This window comes from Homo sapiens, chromosome 5 (assembly GCF_000001405.40).
Source record: "Homo sapiens chromosome 5, GRCh38.p14 Primary Assembly".
In the NCBI taxonomy this organism is placed as follows: domain Eukaryota; kingdom Metazoa; phylum Chordata; class Mammalia; order Primates; family Hominidae; genus Homo; species Homo sapiens.
The window spans coordinates 161,271,548-161,287,437 of NC_000005.10; the positions used below are offsets into that span (position 1 = coordinate 161,271,548).

General features: G+C 39.7%; 1 annotated feature.

Moving 5' to 3' along the window:
* Window positions 14,639–15,008: an enhancer, noted in NCBI's record as "active region_23572". NCBI's record gives its function as "activates an Ori minimal core promoter by ATAC-STARR-seq in GM12878 lymphoblastoid cells {active_cell/tissue: GM12878}" and the evidence as "EXISTENCE:reporter gene assay evidence [ECO:0000049][PMID:35858748]".

Consider the following 15,890-nt stretch of genomic DNA (forward strand, 5'->3'; position numbering starts at 1 on the left):
GTCTCCTTTGCTATCCTGCCTTATGATCCCCTCAAGTACTGTTGACTAAGTCCCAGTGACCTAGGTGGTCACTTCTGATAGGAAAAGTTTTAAGAATGGAGGGGGTGGAGGCAGGAGGAAAGACATGACCCGGAAGTCCTCCACTTAGCCTGGCATCCAAGGAGGTTGCACAGCCTATTCAATGGAAGAGGTCCAAATAAGAGTGAATCATCATTTGAGTTTGAAATTAGATGAATTCCACTCAAATTGGAGACAGGCTTTACAGCAGACATCAAACGCCATTCCCATGTCTAGATGGGCTGGGGGTCCATTCATTAGGATTCCATCAAAAAAAGCAAGTAGGGATAAATGCAAAGGTTTTGCTTTCAGGACTCCCTTGATCCCAAACTGTTGCTTGCAAACCTATTTCTCCATCTTCTTTACTGGTAGATTCTCACTACTGCTGAGGCCAGCTGCTCACACAATATGCTTGTAGCAGCATTCCTGGCAGGCTCTTTCTCACCTAGTCTGGTTTATGGCCTTTCCAGCTGACTCTGTGCTCTAACACTCACCTAGGCTTCAGAATCAGGAGATCACAAATGCCTGTAGGTATGGATGCCTAGGGTCAGGTCAAAATTAGTGGGTTAGAAATCACAGTTATGACACTCATAGCTTCATATTAATACACCAACGATAACAATGGCAGCAGCAACATCCTGGAACACTTTTGTAAAATGCTTAAAATCAGCCAATCATTGCTGAAGACGACTGACTTTGCTGTCAGAATCAAGGGATGTGGGAGGACAAAGTTGGTTCCAGTTCTTTGTAACCTAGTATTTCAGACCAATGAAATTAGACTCTTAATGGATCAAATCTACTTAGCTCAAGAAGAAAAAGGGATTTTATTTACTGATGTAACTAAAGAGTCCTGGGCTTTTGTGATATTTAGATATAGGAACTAAACAATGCCATCAGGTATCTCTCTCTGTCCTCTGCCCAAGAAAGGAAAGATCTTTCTCCCAAATTCCATTATCTGTCTCCCCAGAAGAACTCCAAGTGGTCTGTGGGTGACATGTCCATCCCACAGCAAATTATTGAGGTGGGAGTGATTGGTTGATTGCTTCACAAACCACTCTGGAGGTAGAGAATGTGGGGGACCTCCACTGACAGTCCCACTTGCACACACGGGATAGGGCCCCTGATGGGCCTACTCCATTGCTTACTGAGTGTGGAAAGTCAAGGAGTTGAGTTGGGCCTCATAGCGTCATGTGAATTGGATGTGCACTGTAGCACATCCATACAGAACGAATCCTTTCAGAATCTTTTCCTATACTTCTGACATTAAAAGCAGGGTCTTTTCCCTGGTCATTCTCTGCCATTTTTACATCAGAGGTAGAGGCTTGTTTCTTATTCATTTTTCTACCCCTAGAACCCACTCATTAGGAATAGTGGCTTTCTTTTTATTGGATCAACTGGTTTGTCTTTGCCAGAGAAAGAAAATTTCAGTAACAACAACAACCAAAAAAATTAAACAATTTTGAAGCTAGGAACTTGCTTCTAGTAATTGAATATATTCATCTCAGATTATATGGTAACTCAATTATCATATAATAATTGATAACTCATAATTTAATTATCATATAATAATTGATATCTTGTAACTCAATTATCATATAATCTGAGAATTATTGTATAATCTGAGATGAGGGGAAAAAGCCTTGATGCCTGTTCTTGTTTCTCATCTTTGGGGTCCGCAAAATAGACTCATCAAATCCTCCTATATTAAATACGTAAAATCTACAAATTACAAGCTCCTGCAACTCGATGTCATGCCATATATATTCTTTGACCTTGCACATAGTACATATTTTGATTAATCAGTTGCTATCTTGGGCTTTACTAAGTATCTATCAAGGGCTAGGAAATTTGCAAATATTTATAAACTTACAAAGAAGAATAACTTTTAGCCACATTTTACAGATAATGAAGTAGATCAGAAAGTTGTTCTAGCAAGGCCACTGAGCTAATGAGAGAATCTAGGATTCATATCCAGATCTGTCCTGGCTCTAAGCCCATCCAGCATGACTCTCAGGACACTACAGTTTTTATACATGAGACACTGTTCTTTGTCATTTGTGCAAAGATGTTTTTCAGTTGACTAGGTCTTATTAAAATAGCTAAGTGAAGGCACTCTTAAATAAGAAATGCTCTGGGTTTTTGGTTTTGTTTTGTTTTCTTTTTTGGCAAGACAGGGGAATATTGTTCATCCAAATCTTCTGGATCATTAATAGTTAATTTTTTTCTGCAAGTTGATTCTCTCACGTCATCGTTTTTCCTTTTTTCTCACTCTACTTGAGTTAACAAGGGAATTAACATGATCAGTGCATAAATACCACAGCAAAATCTATGAGAGGCTGAAATCAAAGTTGAGTCATTCAAATGCTTGCCCCCATCCCCAAAGAAAGAGAGGTAATAATTAAATATCTTAGATAACAGTATGTAACAGAATACCCCCTGACTTGTTTAAAAAATGAAGCTTCTTTAAGTTTTAATTCCAGAAACCATGATTTGATGAATAAGAAATGGGACAAACCCAGGTGATTCAGATGCAAGCGACTCACCAGCATGTAAATTTTGAAAAAGTCTTGTCTAGGGACTCAGGTATTAACTTGATTCTCATTTGATGTGGTCTCATGACTAAGTAGAAGATTGGTAATTATAGTTTATAATTGCTAGATTATATTAGAAAGGAAGTAGTGGAATGATAGCAGACTGGATTAAGTACCAAGGATCAATAGAGTTCTTTTATGACTGTGGAATGTCTTCTAAAATAATTTTGACAAGAATCTAAATCTATTTCTCCAGCCTTTTCATTATTCCAAAAACTAAGATGGATATTTCAGTGTCTCCAGATACATACCCATAACATGTACCTAAAAATCATTGGGAAAAGAACAATAAAATACACTGATTGACAAAGATAGTCATGTTGCTGTTTTTGATCACTCATTAGTAGGAGGAGAAAAGCAAAGGACTTTGCCAGAAGTAATCAGAAATAATACAGTTTTTTTAAAAACATCCTTCAAGAAAGATCATTTGTGGGTATTGGTCCAATTATAAGCTGCTTGTCATTTTGCTGAGCTCAACTCTGTTTAAACTGGTAGCCCAGAAATGTATCTATTTTCAAATTTGTGCCTTCTGGGCAGCTCACAAAATAAGAAATAAAAATGGGCAATAAACATAAAAAAATTTAATCTCACTAACAATCAAATAAATGCAAAAGAAAATGGTTGTTTTTTCATGAATAACAAATTGGAAAATGCTTTAAGATGAGCAAAACTGTAACAGTGAGAGAATTGGGTAAGCAGTTACTATCATTTACAGAAGATAAAAAGCATGGTTCAGTGAAATGTATGAAATTTTCAAAAACATTCATATAGTTTGTCTTAGCAATTCCCTTTATAGTACAGTACTGCAAATAAGAGTAAGCAGTAACTTGTCCAAGACTGATCTTCCAAAACCTAAAGTGCCACCCACTTAAGGAGTTTGTCATAATGGAAAGCTCTATGGAAAGGCTTTGCCTCCAGGAAAAGCCACTCCAGTCTAGTGACTAATCAGTCCTGAGGGAATATAAGGCTGGGCTCTTGTCCTGATCATGTCAAAAGAGAGGTGTCGTTTCCCCAGTCATGAACACTAATGTAGTAAATTATGTCAAATTAGTTGCTACATCACACAGCTGCGAAACATGAAATTCTAAGATGCAAATTTTAGAGGAGGGCCTTTGACAGGAATATCACCAGTAAGGATCTTACTCTAGAACATAAGCCCCTCAAGAGCTGGGGAAAGATCTGAGGCTATTCTCCTTTCAATTTATGGTCCCTAGCAGGTTACTTGCAAATAATGCTGGTGATGATAATAATGCCGGTACAAATTAATGCTGATTGATTGTTTACCAGTATCAGAAATTTCACATTCACTATCAGGAGTAAATTCTGAGCCTTTTTTTTAAGGGAGAAGATGGACTGCAGCTGCTCTAGTCTAGCTGAAGTCTTTCTTACTTTTACTTAAATATATTGCCATTTAGTTTGGCCTCTCAGGCAATCGATTAATATCTTCAGAGCAATAAATTATATTCTATACAATGGATGTATTTTTTCTACTCCTAGGGCCTATTCATTAGGAATAGTGGCATCCTTTTTGTTGGATCAATTGGTTTGTCTTTGGCAGTAAGAAAAAATTTTGATACATAGGATGTATCCTATCCCTTCATAACACACGGAATCCAACATATCACTCTTGTAAGAAATATCCATCCCACGGTATATGGAGTGACCATGTATACAGTGTGGCTGTGCAGTCACTTTGGGATAGCAGCAAACAAGGCCTTTTATGATTTCACAGTCTGGGCAATTAGTTTAGCACCTCTGTCTCTCTTGAGCAAATGGAAGGTGAGTTAAAAACAGGGTAGACAGAGAAAAGGGACCAAAGTAATCTCTCCCCATTACCTATATAAGCAAATGAACCTCTATTTTGGCTTATGTAAATTTGAGTTGAGTTTCTGTTACTTGAACCTTAAAGAGTCCTAAATCATCGAAAGATTATAGAAAACTCTAAGATGAATGACTGAGAAAGCAAACTCTAAGATGAATGATTAAGAAAGTATTCAGCGTCATAAAGAATGTGCTAGCTAGGAGAATAAAAAAGGAATGAAATCTGCTTTAGCAGGCTAGGGCTGCTGTAACAAAATATCATGGACTAGATTGCTTGAAAAACAGAAATTTATATTCTCACAGTTCTGGAGACTGGAATTTCCATGATCAAGATGCCAGCTGATTCAGTTCCTGGTGAGAGCTTTCTTGCAAGCTTATAGATGGCTGCCTTCTCAACAATGTCCTCATACAGCTTTTTATCCATCTGTGCATGGAGAGAGAGAGAAGTAGAACTCTCTGTCTTTTTCCTTTTATAAAGCCACCTATGCAGCCATGAAGGCCCCACCTTCATGACCTAAACTAACCCTGATTACCTCCCAAAGGCTCAACATCCAAATACCATCACAATGGGGGTTATTCAACACCTGAATTTCAGGGAGACACGAGTATTCAGTACATAACACGATCTGAACTATAATAAAACAGTAAATAACAACAGCAATAATACTAGCTAGGATTTATTTAGCAAGCACTTTGTGTGCTGAATATTCAATGATAATTAAATCATATAATCCTCAGAAAGAAATTATGAAATTGGTATTGGTATTTATCATCACCTGTTTACAGATGAGGAGAGGAAATTAAGGACTGGTTCTGTATTTTGCCCAGGGACTTATATCATAAGGAGTAGGACTTCAGTTCTAGAGACTGTGATGCTAAAGCCCTTGCTGTTAACCATGACCCTTTACTTCTGTTGTAAATATTTTATATCCCCTACCTCCCTTGGCCACTGAAGTTGTGGAAATTCTATAAAGTGCATACACTGCCATTTGAACAACCAACCTCCTTTTCAATGTTTAAAATCTATTTTCCAAAATGGACACCTTGGGTATTTTAATGTATTTTCTGCCTTAAAATAAAAGCAACCATGGTCATTCAATCACTCATATACTTATCTGCTGGATACCAGTTGAGTTCCTGCCTGCACAAGCCATATTGCTGGGCATAATGATGCACAGAGAACGAGAGCCTTTTTCATTGTTACTATGGTTACTTCTGCCAAACTTCTAACTTCAGGAGAAATGCTTTAAATGAACAAAAGCAATAAACTGTATGGGGCTTTATCTCAGAAACCATGTTGCCATACAGCTTCAGGAGAAAATTCTTTCCATTCTAGTGTGTGGAAGTGAGGGGTTTTGAACTATTCAAATATCTATGATAGGATGTTGAATCACCAGGTATGGGAAAAAAGTTGACTATCAGATAAAATGACTGCTTCAGAAAAGTCAGAGAAACCTGAAAGTAGATAATTGCAGGGAGGAAAGAAGATAAAAGCCAAGGGAAAAGGACCTAGGTCAATGTAACAGCTTGTTTTTAAAAATGCAATAATGTGATATAGCAAAGAATTCCCATCTTCATAGCTTAAAGGAGCAAGTATTTGTTCTTGGCTCATGGATCTGCTGGTCAGCTGAGAAAGCTCTGCTATAGACAGTATGCAGAATTTAGATCTACTCTCTTTGCCCCTCTTTTATTGGAATCAGTAGCTTCCAGGGGCATCCCCTTCCCATGGTGGGTGGCAGGGCCAGACGCTGCAGGATTTAGGGGAGGATGTTTCCATGCTTCTTCCTAGCTTCTAGTGGTTGCCAGCAATCTTTGGGATTCTTAGTTTGTGGTAGCACAACTCCAATCTCTGTCTTCGTCTTAACAGAGCCATCTTCCTTTTGGTCTCTGTGTCCAAATTTCCTCTTCTTATGAGAACAACAATCCTTGGATTAGGGCCCACCCTATCCCAGTATTATCTCGTCTTTACTTGGTTACATTTTCAGATTTAATATCTCTCCTTCCATCTCCCAGACTTTATAGTCACTTAGGCAATTTCTTTTGCATGATATGTGCTTCCCTTTCTCTGCTTGTCTACTGGTTCCTTAAGGCCTAATTCATCCATCTGCATCCTCCATTACATTCTAAATCGATTGTGTGCAGGTTTGGAAGACTTTTTCACTTCTCAACTTCTATCCTACTTGGTATTTGGTAAGGAGTCAAAAACAGTTTGTTGAATTTATTTTAATCAAGAAAAAAATCAGTCATAAGGATTTTACCCTGTGCCATCACATGCAGGAAACTGTCCTTCCCTAGGAAAATAGAATAAAGGGAAATGGCATTGAAATAAAAGTCTTCTATTTGGAATTCTGATAACTGATACTATTAGGCATAATTTTTTGAGATATCTCTAATTGGAGTCATGCCTCATTCAGAAGTGATTAAAGGTGTCATTTAGGTGAAAAATCAAACCTCTCTTTTTGATTACATCTGTAATTATAATGCACTAACAGAACGAATGTAAATACAGAAGACTCATGTGCTTTTGACACCAAAATGTAGTTGTAATGGCAAAAATGAGATGCTGTGGCAGCCACTCATGTTAATTACCTCAGGATTTCCATATAGTCAATCCAGTGTCGTAATGCATTATAGAAATTATGTTTTGCATGTTTAATTGATATGTTTTGGCAGGTGGTTCAAGGTCCTTCTTCTATTTTCAAAGCTAGAGCAGTTTCCAGAATTTCCGTCATGTACCAAGTTATGCCTGAGATAGACTTGGAAACTTTTGGAGTCTGAAGGAAATTTTGAATCATCCTTCAATCATCTATTCTACTTTTCTCTCCCTCTCTCACTCTGTAGGTGGTGAAACTGCAGCTCAGAAGTGAGATGCACTAGAACTCAGGATTCTTTCATTGGGCCACGTGGCACACTTTACTTCTGGCATGAACTAACCTTTCACTAGCATGCCTCCCAGTGTAAACCAAACTCCTTTTAACAAAGACTTTTGTCTCAGTTATATTCAGAGTGCAAGTGGTAAAATACAAAAATAAGACTAGTTTTGAACTTTCATATTCGCAAAAGTAGAGGCACAGGTGTCTCCATGTGATCCAATGAAACCATCTGGACATGGTCTTACTCTTTGCATTTCTTGTCTCTGCTCTCATTTGTGTTGGCTCAGTCCCCAGGCAGACACTCTCCTTGTGCTGGCAGATAGCTGCCAGGAGTGTCGCTCTTATGTCCTGCCACATCCTCAAATCCAGCTGCAATAAAGACATATCCCACCCACACACTGAAGTCCCAGGATTGCAGGCCATGGATGGGACTGACTTGGTCTCTTACTTATCTTTCTACAAATCCCTGTGGCCAGGTGGGATAGATTAGATTAATTGGTCAGGCCTGAATCATGTGGCAGCTCTGAAGCCCTAGTCATCACAAGGGTTATGAGTGGAGAAAGGTGGTTCCCCAAGGTGTGGGTGGGATAATGAAGAAGTGTGACTCAGTGGGGGAAGTGGTATTTTACCTCTGAAATTGTTGACCATTGAGGGATTATGATGATAAAGCTAACTTTCAGTCAATTTTATTATTGTTTTGCAATTATTTTCAGACAGCATATCTCCTTATTGTCTACATCAGGGAGAACTCTTGTCTTATCTAATGGTAAGCCATTATCCTCAATATGGTATAGACAGGACAATATAAGAAATGTTCATTATAAATGTAGGTCAGAAAATGAAGATGACTAATTATGTCGATGTAAGCAGCATATACAGCATATACACTTTGCATTTATAGCTGCATATATACTTTACACATATAACAATAGGTATAGCATATACACTTTGTACTTTGCAGAATGTTTTCACATAAGTACCAAAAGATTATTTCTTCTACTTTATATATGAGAAAGCTGAACTTCAGAGGGTTGAAATGAAGTTCCTGAGCTCATATAGCAAGTAAGGCTGGTAGCTAGTTTTGTGACTAAGTTTTGGGCTTTTCTATTTATACCCTATATAAAATATCTAGGTCTCATTTTCATTGTCATTCTCCTTTTCTCTAATAGGTGTTGGGGTCAAGAGAAGAGAAAATTGTGAGTTGCAAATAAGTAAGATACATGTAAACATGACCCTGACCCTGTGGCAAACTTCTGCCTGGGCATCCAGATGTTTCCATACATCTTCCAAAATCTAGGCTGAGGTCCGTTCTGAAACCCCAATTCTTAATTTCTGTGCACTTGCAGACTCAACACCAAATGGAAGCTGCCAAGGCTTGGGGCTTGCACTCTCTGAAGCCATGGCCCAAGCTCTGCATTGGCCTCTTTCAGCCACGACTGGAGTGGCTGGGGCAACTGGGGTGCAGGGCACCAAGTCCCTCAGCTGCACACAGCTCAGGGACTCTGGGTTCAGCTCAGGAAGCTGCTTTTTCCTTCTAGGTCTCTGGGACTGTGATGGGAGGGGCTGCCACGAAGACCTCTGACATGCTCTGGAGACATTTTCCCCATTGTCTCGGAGATTAGCATTTGGTTCCTCATTACTTATGCAAATTTCTGCAGCTGGCTTAAGTTTCTCCTCAGAAAATAGAATTTTCTTTTCTATTGCATTGTCAGGATGCAAATTTTCCATACTTTTATACTCTGCTTCCCTTATAAAACTGAATGCCTTTAACAGCACCCAATTTACCTCTTGAATGCTTTGCTGCTTAGAAATTCATTTTGCCAGATTCCCTAAGTCATCTCTCTCAAGTTGGAAGTTCCACAAATCTCTAGGGCAGGGGAAAAATGCCACCAATCTCTTTGCTAAAACATAGCAAGAATCACATTTGCTCTAGTTTCCAACAAGTTTCTCATCTCCATCTGAAACCACCTCAGCCTGAATTTCATTGTCCATATCATTATCAGCATTTTGGTCAAAGGCATTCAACAAGTCTCTGGGAGTTCCAAACTTCCCCACATTTTCCTTTCTTCTTCTGAGTCCTCCAAACTGTTCCAACCTCTGCCTGTTACCCATTTCCAAAGCTGCTTTCTCATTTTCAGGTATCTTTTCAGCAGCACCCACTCCTGCTATGAATTTACTATATTCGTCTGTTTTCACACTGCTGATAAAAACATACCTGAGACTGGGAAGAAAAGAGGTTTAATGGACTTACAGTTCCACGTGGCTGGGGAGGCCTCACAATCATGGCGGAAGGCAAGGGGGAGCAAGTCACATCTTACATGGATGGTGGCAGGCAAAGAGAGAGAACTTGTGCAGGGGAACTCCTCTTTATAAAACCGTCAGATCTCATGAGACTTATTCACTATCATGAGAAGAGCACGGGAAAGTCTTGCTACCATAATTCAATTACCTCTGCCCAGGTCCCTCCTACAATATGTGGGAATTCAAGATGAGATTTTGGAGGGGACACAGCCAAACTACATCATTATGCACAACTTTTATTATCATTTAAGAGAAAAATGGGTCAGCAAACATTTTTTTTCTCTGTTCAGGACGCCCTTTGGGCCATGTGCTGATTTATAGATAGAATGAAATCTTTAACAAGAAGCCTGTTGTGGCAACTCAGGAAGTTTAGGAGGCACTGACCTTGTCAGGGTAAATCAGGACCTTGAGGGATCTTCAGCAGCGATCTCAAACTTTAATGACTATGACAATATCTAGATTGCTTGTGAAAAATACAGGCCAGTGAGTCCACCCCCAAACTTACTAAATTAGAAACTTTGGTTGTTGCCAAGGCAATATTCATCTAGTAAGTGACCCAATTTATGCCTTGGATAGGTATTTGGGTATTAAACTTGTTTATTTATTCATTCTTCATTCAGTAAATATTTATAAAATATCTACTCTACATATTTTTCTACATTGGGATAAATCGGTGAAAAATACAAACAGGACACATACCCTTAAGGATCTACATTCTAGCAGGGGAGACAGGTGACAAAGAGCATAATGAATAAGTTGACTATGCAATAGCCTGGGTAAAGAAAATAACAAGTAGAGCAGAGAATGAGGTAAATATTGAGGATGGTAAATATTAAGGATGGTAAATATTGAGTTAGGGAGTAGAGGGTTGGTAACAAAACCAAGTGAGGTGGTAAGGATTGGGCTCCTTGAAAGTTTTGAAGAGGGTGAGGGAACTAAGCAGATTCCAGGGAGATGGGTCCAAACAGAGCGAGCAGAGTGAAAGCCCTGGCAGGAGTGTGTCTGGCTTGTTGAGCTGAACAATGAGGCCAGGGTGGCTGGAGCTCAGAGTCAGGGGGAGTCAGCATCAGGGGGCCAGTGAGGGGAACCAGGCTGCCTATGGACTTTCAGAACATTGTAAGAAAGTTGTCTTTTACTCTGATTGAAATGAGGAGCCATTACAGTGTTTTGAGCAGAACAATTATGTGATCTGACTTGCTTTTTAAAAGGATTACTCTGCTGCTATGTTGAAAACATTCTGCAGGGAGGCAAGAACAGCAGCGGGGAGACTAGCTAGGAGGCTATTGAAATAATCTGGGGAAAGATAGTGGTCACCCAGAAAGGGACGTAATAGAGAAGGGAGTGAGAAGTGGTCAGATTCTGGTTATATTTTGAAGGAATGGCCACTTTAATTTTCTGATGGATTAGACGCAAGTTCAGAGGAAAAGAGGAATAAAATAGGACTACAAGGTTCTTGGCGGGAGAAACTAAAGTTGCCATCAAGTTTGGAAGAAAGATCAGTTTTAAATATTTTGTGTCTGGGATGTCCACTAGATGGTTGAAGTAGGATCTCAAGAAGATGTTTTGAGTTTAGGAGGCAGATGTGGAATGAAAATGTAAATTTGAGGCATTCCAACACGAAGAGGTTGAGGAGCAGATGAGGAACCAGCCAAGGACCCTGAAAAGGGGCAACCAATGAAGTAGCAGCAAAACTCAAAAATTGCTAACAAGATTGGTTCTATGAGCAAAAGCACCCATTATTAAATAGCATATTCTTTCATTTTTTTTCAGTATTACATAAATATGTGGTAAAATATTATTTTGAATGTCTCTGTAAGGGTGTTTTTTGGGTGAGTTTACATTTAAATTGGTGGACTTTGAGCAAGGTAGATTGCCGTCCATAATGTAAGTGGGCCACATCCAATCAGTTGAAGGCCTGAATAGAATAAGAGATTGCCTCAGAGCAAGAAGAAATTCTGCCAGCAGATGGTTTTCAAACTGGGATGATGACTTTTTCCTGAGTCCTAGCCTGCTTGTCTACCCTGAAGATTTTGGACTTGCCATCTTCCATAATCATGTAAGTAAATTATTTATAATAAGTATTTCTCTAAATGTACACACATCCCGCTGTTTCTGTTTCTCTGGAGAGCCCTGACTAATACATCCTGGAAAGAGGCATTGAAAGCCAGAGAGCCCACCAAGCTCTGCATGTGCTGTATGGGCTTGGGAAACTCCCCCAGCATTTGCCTTTCCCTGTCCACTGCAAACCAGGGATTCCAAAGTGGCTGTCCCAGTGCTCCAAGACTGCTCCTGGAACAAGAACTGTAGCCAGGAGCCAGCGTCCCTACTATCTGCCAAAGCCAGAATGGGAAAAGCTCCCTTACAAATTGGCAAGATCCCCCATGTTATTTAATTTTAGATGAAGCTTCTTAAACATTTAAAAGTTTTTTTATTTATTAATCATTTTGTACTTTGTATGCATCAATAGTTTTGTTTTATATATAGTGAGAGATTCTCTAAATGTTCAAATGAATTCCTGGCAAGTGGAATGACAAATTAAAATGAATAAATAAAGATTTGGCAAGGCACTTCAGAAAGGTCGCCAACCTTGAATGGAGCTTTGATCCCTCTGAGGGTGTTCTTAAGCTTGTAAAGAGAATGAGGCATGGGGAGAACCCTTCCATTTCTCTTCAGTCCAGTTTGGTTTACGCAGAGAATGACAACTGTGACCTCTACCCTGGGCCTCTCCTCTCTCAATGTACCCAGAACTGTGACATGTCCCTGACACAGATCTCACACAACTTTTGGGAGGGATTTATTAGCCTGCAAGTTCGCAAAATCACTTGCTTCCTTGGGAAGCTTCAGCTTCCTCATGTCTAGTTGTCCAGATGATAGGAGAATCATGCTTTCTCTCTCTGTGTTGTCTTAAGTATATTCAAGGCTTTGTTTGGGGGTGTAGAAAAAAAAACATAATCTTCCACATTGAGAAGTATTGCATTTATAAATTCAAAAGTGATTTAAATGAGGGCATAACAATAGCCATACGTAAAAAGAGATAAAGCAAGCAGTAAAGTTGGCTTTCAAAAATTTGTAGAAGACATATTTAAGTTACTCATATTTAAGTTTATTTCAACGACTGTCTCCTGTCACCCGAATAAATTAAGGGAAACACCAACATATCTAGACTTTGGCAGTTCTCAGCTTTTCAGAATAACTGTAAAAATCTAAAACCATAAACATAAAATAGAAGTTTGGAAATAAACACTTCTTTTTTTTCTATCTTAAGGATTTAGCCTTATTTCTAATTTTACTCTCAAAGGTGCTGTATCCCCAGAAGCTAAACAGAAGTAAGTAATCTATTGAGTAGCAGTCAAGTAAAGGGGTGAAGTGCCTGAGGCTTAGAGCTAGCCCCCTGTGGCATGCAATGCCTGTGGTTGGCATTTTGTGTCCTCTGCAGCAGAGATATGGCAATAATTCACACCTTGCTCTAGCGTGTGAATTAAATTCACAGCTCATGCTGGGGGGTGGTCAGGTGCTGAAAATGTTTCCAAATTTCATCTTTTCCTCTTCCTTTTCTTTCTTCCCTCCTTTGCTTTCTTTCTCCTTCTTTCTCTGGTCTTCTCCAGGGACACCAATGGGGGAGACCAGGTTCCTCAGTCCGCCACAAGAGACTAGCAATTTTCAAACTGTTTTCTTTATCAGCTATACACATATATTATTATCATTAGAGTCAATTTCTTCTTCCTATTTGTACACTCCTTCCTTCCCTCACTGCTGATTTATCCCAAAATTTCTGGATAAACTTCTATTAGTTCTGCACTTCAGGTTCATGACTAAACTCCAATCTACATTGAGTCTCAGGGTGGTGGAAATGTGTTAGCAGCTTCTATCGCTCATTTCATTTATGTCCCATTCTCTATCACCAGAGTTGTTGATGTAGTGAAGACAGGGCTCCCTGAGTCTCCTCTTGAGTCCTGAACCCCTGCCCACCCCTTGTCTCTCTCCAAGGCTCTTCCAACCATTCCTTACCCCTTCGTAATCCTTAGCTTCTCACTAAAATCCCTCTTCTGAGGGCTTTGTCTGCTAGTCTAAGTCAGGCCCACCTCAATGCAGAGTGAGTCCAGGAAACGTTGGGAGGGTAAGGGGCTGCTGATGCAGAGGAGAGAGACACTCTGCTGATGCAGAGCGAGCCTTCTAAAAACCAAACAGACTTTGTTCACACTGTGAAAACGTGTGCTTGCAATTTTCTGTACCCATTTATACTAACATGTTTCTATCACTTTCTTCTCTTTCAAGAACACATAAAAAAGCCCTGTTTTACTTTCTTACATTTGCAAGATGTCAACCACCAGGAAAGGGACATTGCTCCAGCTAAAATGGTATAAAAGTTTGCTCAGTCTACATAAATTCTCAGGGAGTTCCTAACATGCTCCCTCCTCAAATTCAGCTTGAGGCTGACAGCTATAGAAACATCCACGTAGAACTCTGGGCACAGGAAAACTTGATTTGCCAGCATCTCTCTGACCATTCTGTACCTGTCTGGAAAGTGGAGGATTCAATGTTTTGGTTTTTTTTTTTTTTTCTTGTATTCAAAGATGAATCTGGCAACACTGAGCTTGCAATTCCTCACGGCAACAATCAGCTAGGGTTCAACAGTGGCTGGGTCTTTAGAGCATGTCATACCAGTTCCCTATGGTTCCCCTGACACCCTATTGTATGACATCAGACCTTTATTACTTGATTACAATTCCCACTAAGCCCCCTGTATGCATTTGGGTTTGCAAGACATAGGATAATGGGCTATATTAATCCTCTACTCAAATTTTGGGTCTCATTAGCCTTCTATCTTTCAGAACTGGAGCCATGACCTCTACACTCTTGGATATCTATTTCTAGGAATAGCATATTAAATTCTGATATCGAGTCCATCTTGTTGTTTCTCATATCACTTCCTGGGGTGGAGAGACCAGGGACCCACCAGGTCCCAGATGGAAGTGTAGTGATGAGCCTCACTTCTTAAATGAAACTGTGTAGGAAATGCCACATTTCCTTTCTGCTGAGGAGTCCCAGCCTGTTTGATTCTTGCCCTGTGTTCCCAGGACTCTGCTGCTTTAGCAGTATGCCTGGGGCGGTGCCCAGGGCCTGGCACACTAAATGTCACTGTGCCATCTGCTCTGAGGCCTGCCATTCCCCAGGTCTCTACCATTGAAGAGATTGCATGTCTCTACTGCTATGGAGCCCTGCTGTCCTTCTTCCCCCTCCCAGTCTCTGAGAAACTGCTCCCCTTCTCCTTTCACGCTTACCCTTATACTTTCACTTTCCTGAGTGCTAAGTTTCATCTGCATGTCTCAGTAGTTTCTCTTTTCTTTACCATTAAGATTTCTGAAGTGCAAAAACAAATATATAATCAATACTGTAGCTTATTTGAAACAAAAGAGGAGAAAAGACCAGAATACACACAAATCAATACATTGATAAAAGGACTAATTGTTTTGGGACTTGTCATCCCAAGATTATTCTTGGTTCTAATCCACGTAGTGGGATGGGGTGCTATGGTGCAGAGGATGAGAGAGGATTTGAACATTTGGCTATTGCTCTGTCACAGATATTTTAGGGAACATTCATGAATTTATGAAAATTTTCTCCATTAAACTGGTATTACTCTGGGAGATGGGTTTCCTGGCTTAGAGAAATACTCTGCATGAAAAATGGCATGTAATATTTGAGAATTAGAACAAGTTTTAGAAGAGAGCAAGGGTATCTAAAGGGTCCACTTTAAGAAAATATAGTTTTTGGAATATGGAGGGGTGAAATTATCCCAACACCAACTGGCCAGCTTTTTTGGGGGACAGTATCTGGAGACTTTCCCTTTCTGAGGTAAGTTGTAAACTGTGAACCCCATCACTGGTAGCATTTACTACTGGCCCTCCCACCTTCCCCTGACTACATGGGCTCATAGGCACACTCACATGCATACACACTAACTCCCTGACATACCATCACCATTTATGTGAGCACGTGCATGTATGTGACCTTACAAATATTTTCTCTGCTGAAAGCAAATACCGAAACTTACCATGAGGGATGTCAAGCACAGATGTAGGTATTTAATATTCCTAGGTTTTACCATTTACAACATAACCTGATAACTGAGTCTTAAGCATTTTATAGGTGGGTCTTTTATGTAGCTTATACTACTCCTCGACCATAACTCTTTTTAGTCTGTGACTTTATTGAACAATTGTGTTCTGATAGCCTCTCTCTCAAG